At 35.8% G+C, this 10,473-nt stretch overlaps 1 long non-coding RNA gene across 1 annotated transcript in view; it reads right to left on the bottom strand.

The window, feature by feature from the left end:
- Positions 1-3,612: 3,612 nt before the first annotated feature.
- Positions 3,613-10,473, bottom strand: part of DEPDC1-AS1 (DEPDC1 antisense RNA 1) — a 41,952-nt gene continuing 35,091 nt past the window's right edge. Inside the window, exon 3 of the long non-coding RNA NR_110671.1 lies at positions 3,613-4,608. This is a non-coding gene — a long non-coding RNA (DEPDC1 antisense RNA 1). The remainder of the gene's footprint in view (positions 4,609-10,473) is intronic.

The raw sequence follows: 10,473 nt of genomic DNA, 5'->3' as shown, positions 1-10,473 counted from the left end.
GTTAGGGGGAAGAGGTGATTACATAGTTCAACAAATTAGGGGGAAAAAAGACCTCTTGTCTTCAGTTCTAGATAATTCTAGTTCTGTGATGTGGTTTTCTAGTTCTACGAGGTTAATTTTCCAATCATCTAAGTACCCCTTTGTAGACTAGTGTTTCCACTCCCTCTGCAGTAACATGGGACTCCAGGAACTAAGTGTCCCAAGCCATGACTTTCAGTGGTACCACAATCCACTCAGCCTTATGGAAGAACTATCATTTCCAAGAATTATGAGAATTGGGGGAATAAGATGTTGGTTCCTATTTTTACTCCCAACAAGCTGTCCAACATCTGTGACACCCAACCTCAAAAACTCTTAATATTTTCTTTCTCAGAAAGGAGCACTTTCATGGACCACTTTCATTGGAATCTTTCCCAGTCTAAAACAGTCAATTTACATCACCCTGATGAGCCTAGCTTTTCAAAAACAAAGATTTTGTTTGATACCCTGTGAGGGCAAGAGGCTAGGTTGCTGAAGGAAGATGGGAAATCTCTGAATATGGAATGAACATACTTTTACAATGCATAAGCTTCATAAAGTACGAAGTCTATCTCCCAGTCTTGAGAAAATCCACCCACAATTCCTTAACATCAGAAGTCTTTTGGTTCCAGAACTTCAGGATGCCAAGTCACCTTGGCATCAAAACCGATTCCAGAAGATGCTTATTAATTGTCAACAGATATTTACTGAGCATACATACTTTCAGCAGAGGATCCAGCCTTTATGAGACCTTAATCTTAAACAATTTGAGAGAGAAAGAGACCCTTTAAATACATATATATAAATTATAAATGCAAAATTAGGTAAAAAAATATTTATTTGAAATGAGAAAACAAATCACAACAAATAATAAATTTTATTAAGTTGCAATCTCAAAAGCATAAAATCAGAAAAGTCACATATTTGTATTAACTTTTTTATTAAATTAACTGCCAAATTAAAAATTTGTCATTGGTAACAACATGTAAAATTTTCAGATTGTTGTGATATTTAGAAAAATTTCTATCGAGAGAACTGTTTGACTAGGTGTTGATGAAAACCCATTTCTATACTTATATTTTACTTATCTAATGTTTGGAAGAATTTTCTATAAATTAACTTCTGGTTCTGAACATTTCTAACTTTGTTCTCCCCCTCTACCAACATACTTGAGGAGCTGTGGCTATAAGATGAATTCATGTTAATAAAGTGACTGCCTGTGCTATATTTTATGTCTCAACACAGGTTGAGTCAACACAGTGGGATACAGTAATATTTGAATAAAACATCCTTGTATCAGGATGGCTAACAATTATTTAACTATACAAGGAGATAACTGAAAACCACATAAATAAATCTCTCTAAATAAAGTGTATTGCTAAATCAGTTTCCTCTAAGTCAGATCCAAAAACTGTCTTTAGCTAGTTAAATGCCAACCCATCACATGGGAAGCAAGACAGAGGTGAAGATGCAGTGGAAAGACTGCAGCTTGAAAAAAATCTTTCTTTTAAAAAATACTATAAAATTTGCCAGGCCAGGTGGCTCATGCCTACAATCCCAGAGCTTTGGGAGGCCAAGGCAGGAGGATCAGTTGAGACCAGCATTTGAGACCAGTCTGGGCAACATACTACGACTTTGTCTCTACAAAAATAAAAATAAAAAATTTAGCCAAGCGTAGGTGGCACACTCCTGTAGTCCTAGCTACTCAGGAGGCTGGGGCAGGAGAGAGGATTGCTTGAACACATGAGTTCAAGGTTTCAGTGAGTTGTGATTGCACCACTGCACTCCAGCCTAGGTGACAGAGCAAAACCCTGTCTCTCTCCAGAAAAAAAAAAAAAAAAAAGATACATGTATGTGTATATATATATATATATATATATATATATATATATATATATATATACACACACACACACATGCATATATTTATGTAAATTTATGTGTACATATATTTAGATTAAAAAATATAAATGTTTATGTGTACATGTATAACTTTACATAAATATATAAATATATACATATATTTGTGTATATATGTATAAATTTACATAAATATATGAACACTATTAGGGCTACTCCAAGACATTGGAATGGGCTTATGCAAGTGAGGGTGCCTGAAACTATACTTCCTTTAATTCATGATAAATCTACCACTGCATCTTCTTACTAGCAAGAAGAGGAGTTAACATGATTTTAGAAAAATGAGTAATATGCAAAAGGAGTATGCACTAGAATCAAGGAGATTGAATACAACTTCTGGGCTCTTGATTAACCCCTGTATGACCACAGCTAATGCACTTAACTTTAGTTTTCTCATCTCTATTATGAGACTGATGGCAATAATGTCTCCCAAAAGACAGAATTCAAAAGAGTGCAATTTTTAAACTATAGAGCAGGCTATCGAATGGATGTGTCCCCCTAAAATTTATATACTATAGCCTAATTTCCATTGTTATGGAAACCCCGTCTCTACTAAAAATACAAAAATTAGCTGGGCGTGGTGGCAAGTGCCTGTAGTCCCAGCTACTCATGAGGCTGAGGCAGGAGAATCACCTGAACCCCTGAGGCAGAGGTCTCAGTGAGCCGAGATCACACCACTGCACTCCAACCTGGGCAACAGAGTGACAGAGCGAGACTCCATCTTAAAAAAAAAAAAAAAAAAAAAAAAACACAGCAAGAAGATGGCCATCTATGCACCAGGAAGCAAGCCCTCACCAGACACTGAATCTGCTCACACTTTGATCCCAACTTCCAGAAATGTAAGAAATAAATATTTGTTGTTTAAGCTACCCACTCTATGGTATTTTTGTTACAGCAGCCCAAATGACTAAGACAGAGTGCTTTGTAAGTGTTTATAATTATTTTTGTTAATAGTGTAAGCACTACCATTAGCATTATTAGTAGTACTAATAATCAACTTAAAGTTATAAAAATTGCTTTTGCCCTTCTGCACTCTTAGCTTCTAGTCTCTACAGTGTTTTCTCCACTGTGGCTAACCTAGATAAAATTAAAGCATAGCAAGATTACAGTCTTGCCATATGTGGACTCCTAGTACACATTTATCCTTTTCCAGTGAGGAAGAGGTTTCCCTGGTAACTTGCCTTTCTAAGCCCACTCCTGATAAGCAATTGGCTGAGTTTGACAGTTGTTTCTTCAGTAATCTCTGTAAACTACTAGCAATTTTTTGAACATGACTTCTTAAAGAGGTTCATGTCTTTTTTCCTGTTCTAGGCATTGGAATGAAGGGCATTAGAACAGAATCATTTAATTATTTATATTTGCACTTTTAATAAAAATATGTACGGATTTGCTCATATCAAGTATTCCTGTTAATGTAACTAAATGTTGGTCACGGCTGATCTCTCAGGTATTATCAATCTACTTGGGAACCTAGTAATGTTCCCAAATTTTCTAAGGAATTATAAAACACAGCATTCAGTACTTTTTATTAAATTGTATTCATATTTATCTGAACAATTGAATTTAGATTTAAGTCTTCTCAGAATATATTGCTTAAAAATAAAGTTTTCAGAAACTTTGAATCTTAGAAAAAGAATCTGGCATTTAAAATGAATACAAAACTGACGAAATCACTTAAGTGCAAAAGGATCGTTTTAATGTGATTTGGGGAAGAATTAACAAAAATAAAAATATTTATTGAACTGTACCTTTTAATAATTCTGAATAGATTTGAGATCATTTCATAATCACTGCATTACAGCAGAACTCTCTATAGAAACACAGTAATGTTTTAAATTTATCCCCACAGTTCTCATAATCATTTAACTAATAAGTAGAAAATGAAACCAAAGCATAAAAGTATAAACATACAGAAAATAAACACAATGGTATTAAGGGGACCAGTTTAAGAACTTTCGTTGTTATAAGGTATTAAGATGATGATAGCAATTTCTCAGGGTGCATATTTCCTAGATTATGTTTTGTCTGTCTATTTTGTACCAAAGAATTTATAATCAACTTTTCTATGTATTACATTTGGCTTTTCATTCCTTCATTCATTCAACAAATATTTATTGAGTAGCAACCATTTTGCAGCTGCTTTGTTAGATATTGGGTATATAAAGTTAGAATGAGAAAATAATTTTCCTGTATCTCTGGTATTGACAATTTAATGGAGTATAACAGAAGGTTCATATGGGATTTTGTCCTGTTTTAAAAATCATTGCGGAAGCTCAAAACTGTATACAAAACATACCAAAAAATGCATCATAAGCTTAGAGAGTCACCAGGAGTTGGGGCCAGATACATATGTATTTTTAGGGACTAATGAGAGGCACTAATCCAAGAATTTTTTCTACCACGTCCAATGCTCATTCTTGTGACAGTCAAAACACATACAAGACTGTGAGGTAAGAAAAAAAGAATAAAAAAAGAGAAAAAAGACAAACAAAAAAAGTAAAAGAAAGAAAACTGTGAGATAGGAGAGCACATGGCCTTTTCAGAAGCCCAGTGTCCAAGCAGGAAGACTCTTCTTCCCTTCTCAGCAGAAGCCTACAGGAATGCCTCTCCTTCCAAACTCCACAGGGAATAGGAAGCTTCATGAAGATCACTTATGCAATACTAGGATTTCTGCAAGAAAAGAAGAGCATTTTGTTCTCTAGTTGTATACTTGTGGAACCAACAGGCTACTAATCTGCCCCTTGGTCACCGTGAGCTGAGAAAAGATAAGGAAGACAAGGCTAAAAGAGAGGGAAGCAGTGGGACTGCCCTTATACACTTAAAGCTGGGGCAAGCAGACACCTCAGAGGTAGCTGAATTTGAGCTATCTTGCAGGAACTTCTCCCAAGAGGGACCCCAGCAGCAAGATGCTGTGGAATAAGGGAAAGACGAGAAGGAGGACAATACCAAAGCAAAGCTAGATCTCCTATATCAGATAATCAGCAGGAAACTTGACCAGGGCCCTCCTGTGCTCCATGACAGAAATGACCAATGTGAGCTAGAGACTTCTCATCAGTTAACGAGTAACCACTTCTACTCCCAGTTCAGAAAGGAGAAGTTTGCCTGTTCCCTCTCCTTCCTCTCCACCTGAACCTAAGAGAGGATCTAGCACCTAGAAGATAAAGGAGGGTGGGGGAAACTCTACTCCAGCTGCTGAAGACATGAAAATTCTAACTATCCTTTGAAGAGAAAAGAGAGCTTTAAACGGAGTTTGAGGCCAAAGTCATAAAATATATAAGGGTAAAGATTAAATATTGAAACAGAATTGCTCCAATAACTGAAAGAACGTGGAATATTAAAGAGCCTATTCATGATTCCACTAGGCAGAGTGAATGGCATTGCTTTTTCCAGAGTTTAGGCCAAGTCATGAGCAAAGCTAACAGTCACAGAAATAGAGATAAGCAGATGCATTGTTTTGAAAGATAGAAGCAGGCCTGGACCCCAAAAAATGGATCTGAACTAAAGGTACAGACTTGGAAGCTCTCAGCTCTTCAAAATAATAACATTGATAAATAATGCAATTAGCAAAATATAATATTATTAACAATAACAGTTAACATCTATTAATCTCTTACTACTTGACTGGTACTTTACTGAGAGTTTTATATGAATTATATAATTTAATCTTTCGCACAATCTTACGAGGTGGGTCTGAAAAACCAACCACTTTGGGCCCATTTTACTTAGAAGGAAAGTGAAAATTTAAAGAATTTAAGGACTCTGCTTCACTTCCTAACAGAACAGGTATCTAAAATAGTTCTGACTACAATGGCCACATGCTGAATCCAATTTATTAAACTACCTTCTTAACAATTTCTCTTTTTTTTTTTTCTTAACTGGGTTTGTTTTAGGGAAGGGAAGTAGAGGACATGAGAAATTTATTCATTTTATTTTATTTTTTCTTCCAACTTCTATTTTAGGTTCAGGAGGTGCATGTGTGGGTTTGTTATATAGGTAAGTTGTGTGTCACAGAGATGTAGTATACAGATTATTTCGTCACCCAGCTACTAAGCATACTACTGGACAAGTAGTTTTTCGATACTTACTCTCCTCCCACTTTCCACCCTCATGTAGGCCCCAGTGCCTATTGTTCCCTTCTTAGTTGCTTTGTTAGATTGTATACTCAATGTTTAGCTCCTACTTATAAGCGAGAACATGTAGTATTTTGTTTTCTGTTCCTGCATTAATTCGCTGAGGATAATGGTCTCTGGCTCCACCCATGTTTCTGCAAAGGACATGATCTCATTCTTTTTTATGAATGTGTAGTATTCTATGATTTTAGGTACCACATTTTCTTTATCCAGTCCATTATTGTATATTTAGGTTGAATCCATGTCTTTGCTACTGTAAATAGTGCTGTAATGAACATACGCATGCTTGTGTCTTTATGGTAGAATGATTTACTTTCCTTTAGGTATATAACCCATAAGGGATTGCTGGGTCAATTGTTAAGTTCTTTGAGAAATTTCCAAACTGCATTCCACCATGGCAGAACTAGCTTATATTCCCACCAGCAGTGTATAAGCATTCCCTTTTCTCCCCAACCTTGCCAGTATCTGTTATTTTTTTTTCCTTTTTAATCTGACTGGTCTGAGATGGCATCTCATTGTGGTTTTTATTAGCATTTTTACAATGATTAGTGATGTTGAGCATTTTTTCATATGCTTGCTGGATATGTGTATGTATTCTTTTGGGAAGTATCTGTTCACATCCTTTGCCCATTTTGTAATGCGGTTGCTTATTTTTTTGCTTGTTGATTTGTTTAAGTTTCTTATAGATTCTGGACATTAGAACTTTGTTGAATGCATAGTTTGAAAATATTTTGTACCAGTCTGTAGGTTATCTGTTCACTCTTGATAGTTTCTTTTGCTATGCAGAAGATCTTTCATTTAATTAGTTGCACTTGTCAATTTTTGTTTTTGTTGCAATTGCTTTTGTCATCTTCATTATGAAATTTTTGCCAATGTTTATGTCCAGAATGATATTTCCTAGGTTTTCTTCCAGGGCTTTATATGGTTTTTGAATTTACGTTTAAGTCTTTAATCTATCTTGAGTTGATTTTTGCATATAATGAAGGAAGGGGTCCAGTTTCTATAATCTGCATATGACTAGCCAGTTAGCACAGCACCATTTACTGAATAGGGAGTCCTTTCTCCATTACTTGTTTCTGTTGACTTTGTTGAAAATCAGATGGTTGTAGGTATGTGGCTTTATTTCTGGGTTCTTTAACCTGTTGCAACGGTCTGTGTTTGTTTTTGTACATGTACCATGCTGTCTTGGTTACTGTAGCCTTGTAGTGTAACTTGAAGTCAGGTAGTGTGGTACCTCTGGCTTTGTCCTTTTTGCTTAGGATTGCATTGGCTATTCAGGATTTTTTTGGTTCCATATGAATTTCAGAATAGTTCTTTCTAATTCTGTGTAAAATGTCATTAGTAGTTTGCTAGAAATAGCATGAAATCTGTAAATTGCTTAGTGCAGTGTGACCATTTTAACAATATTTATTCTACCTATCCATGAGCATGAAATGTTTTTCCATTTTTTGTGTGTGGTCTCTGATTTCTTTTGGCAGTATTTTATAATTCTCATTGTAGCAATCTTTCACCGCATTAGTTAGCTGTATTCCTGGGTACTTTATTTTTTGTGGCTATTGTGAATGGGATTGCATTCTTGATTTGGCTCTCAGCTTGCATATTGTTGGTGTAAAGGAATGCTACTGATTTTTGTATCCTGAAACTTTACTAAAGTTGTTTGTCAGGAATAGGAGTCTTTTGGAGGGTCTTTAGGTTTACTAAGTATACAATCATGTCATTGATGAACAAAGATAATTTAACTTCCTTTTTTCTTATTTGGATAATTTTATTTTTTTCTCTTGCCTGATTGTTCTGTCTAGGACTTCCAGTACTATGCTGAATAGGAGTGGTGAGAATGGGCATCCTTGTCTTTTCCGGTTCTAAGATAAATGCTTCCAGCTTTTGCCCATTCAATATGATATTGGCTGCGGGTTTGTCATAGATGGTTCTTACTATTTTGAGGTATATTCCTTCAATGCCTAGTTTGTTGAGAGTTTTTAACATGAAGGGATCTAGAATTTTATAGAAAGCCTTTTCTTCATCTATTGAGATAATCATGTGATTTTGGTTTTTCTTTCTGTTTATGTGGTGAATCACATTTATTGATTTTTGTATATTAAAGCAACTTTGCATCCCAGGAATAAAGCCTACTTGATCACGGTGGATTATCTTTTTGATATGCTGCTGGATTTTATTTGCTAGTATTTTGTTGAGGATTTTTGTACTTATGTTCCTCAAATATATTGGCCCCAAGTTTTCTTTTGTTGTAGTTGTTGTGTCTTTGCCAGGTTTTGGTATCAGAATGATGCTGAGCTCATAGAATGAGTTAGGAAAGAGTCCTTCCTCCTCAATTTTTTGGAATATTTTTAGTAGGATTGGCACCAGCTCTTCTTTATACATCTGGTAGAATTCAGCTGTGAATCTGTCTGGTTCAGGGCTTTTTGTGTTGGTATGATTTTCATTACTGATTCAATTTCAGAACTTGTTATTGGTCTGTTCGGGCTGTCAATTTCCTCCTGGTTCAATCTTTGGAGGTTGTATGTTTCCAGGGACTTATTCATTTCTTCTAAGTTTTCTAGTTTGTGTGCAAAGTGGTGTTTGTAACAGTAACTGAGGGTTTTTTTTTCTTATTTCTGTGGGGTTTGACAGTAATGTCCCCTTTGTCATTTCTAATAGTGTTTATTTAGATCTTTTTTCAATTTAGCTCTGATGTTTGTTATTTCTTTTCTTCTAGCTAGCTTTAAAGTTGATTTGTCTTGTTTTTCTAGTTTCTCTAGGTGTGGTGTTAGGTTGTTAGTTTGGGATTGCTCTTAACTTTTCTATTAATACTGTTTTAGCTGTGTCCCAGGGATTTTTTTTTTTTTCCTTTCTTATTTTTTTAGACAGAGTCACGATCGGTCACCCAGACTGAAATGCAGTGGTGTGATCTCAGCTCACTGCAACCTTTGCAAGAAATTCTCATGCCCCAGCCTCTCAAGTAGCTGGGATTACAGGCATGCGCCACCACACCCAGTTAATTTTTGTATTTTTAGTAGAGATAGACTTTCACCATGTTGCCCTGGCTAGTCTCAAACTCCTGGCCTCAAGTGATCTGCCCACCTTGGACTCCCAAAGTGCTGGGATTACAGGCATGAGCCACCACACCTGGCCCATCCCAGAGATTCTTATATGTTGTATCTTTGTTTTCATTAGTTTCAAATAATGTCTTGATTTCTGCCTTCATTTAACTGTTTACCCAAAAGTCATCCAAGAGTAGGTTAATTTCAATGTAATTGTATGATTTTGAGAGATATTCTAGGTATTGACTTCTCTTTTTATTGCACTGTGGTCCAAGAGTGTGGTTGTTATGATTTTGGGTTTTTTTAATTTGTTGAGAATTATTTTATGGGTGACTGTGTGAGCAGTTTTAGAGTATGTGCCACGTGCAAATGAGAAGGATGTATATTCTATGGTTGTTCTGTGGAGTGTTCTGTAGATATCTGTTAGATCCATGTGGTCAAGTGTTGAATTCAGGTCCTGAATATCTTTGTTAGTCTTCCGTCATGATGATCTATCTAGTTCTGTCAGTGAGGTGTTGAAGTCTCCCACACTTATTCTGTGATTATCTAAGTCTCTAAGTCTCTTCATAGGCATCTAATAACTTTTTTAAATGAATCTGGATGCTTCAGTGTCTGGTGCATATATATTTAGAATAACTAAGTCTTCTTGTTGAATTAAACCCTTTATCATTATGTAATAACCTTCTTTGTCTTTCCTGATTGTTGTTGATTTAAAGTCTGTTTGTCTGAAATTAGCTCCATCTCTTTACTTTGAGCCTATGGGTGTCATTGCATGTGAGATGGGTCTCTTGAAGACAGCATAAAATTGGATCTTCCTTCTTTATCTAGCTTGCTACTCTGTGCCTTTTAATTGGGATATTTAGCTCATTTACATTCAAGGCTATTATTGATATGTGTGGATTCGGTCCTGTCATCATGTTGTTAGCTGGTTGTTATGCAGACTTGATTGTAAAGTTGCTTTATAGTGTCAACAGTCTGTGTACTTAAGTGTGCTTTTGTGATGGCCAGCAACAGTCTTTCATTTCCATGTTTAGCACTCCCTTAAGAACCTCTTGTAAGGCTGGTCTGGTGGTAACAAATTCTCTTAGCATTTGCTTGTCTAAAAAGAAAGTTATTTCTCTTTTGCTTATAAGGCTTAATTTGGCTGAATACAAAATTCTTGGTTAGAATTTCTTTTTTTAAGAATGCTGAATATAGACCCTCAGTCTCCTCTGGCTTGTAGAGTTTCTGCTGAAAGGTCCATTGTTAGCCTGATGGGGTTTCCTTGCAGGTGACCTGCCCCATCTCTTTAGCTGCTTTTATTTTTTCTTTCACATTGACCTTGGAGAATCTGATGACTATGTGTCTTGGGGATGGTTGTCTTGTGT

This window comes from Homo sapiens, chromosome 1 (assembly GCF_000001405.40).
Source record: "Homo sapiens chromosome 1, GRCh38.p14 Primary Assembly".
NCBI classification, from domain to species: Eukaryota; Metazoa; Chordata; class Mammalia; order Primates; family Hominidae; genus Homo; species Homo sapiens.
The sequence above is the reverse complement of the archived record's forward strand: the minus strand, read 5'-3'. Positions and strand labels throughout refer to the sequence as shown.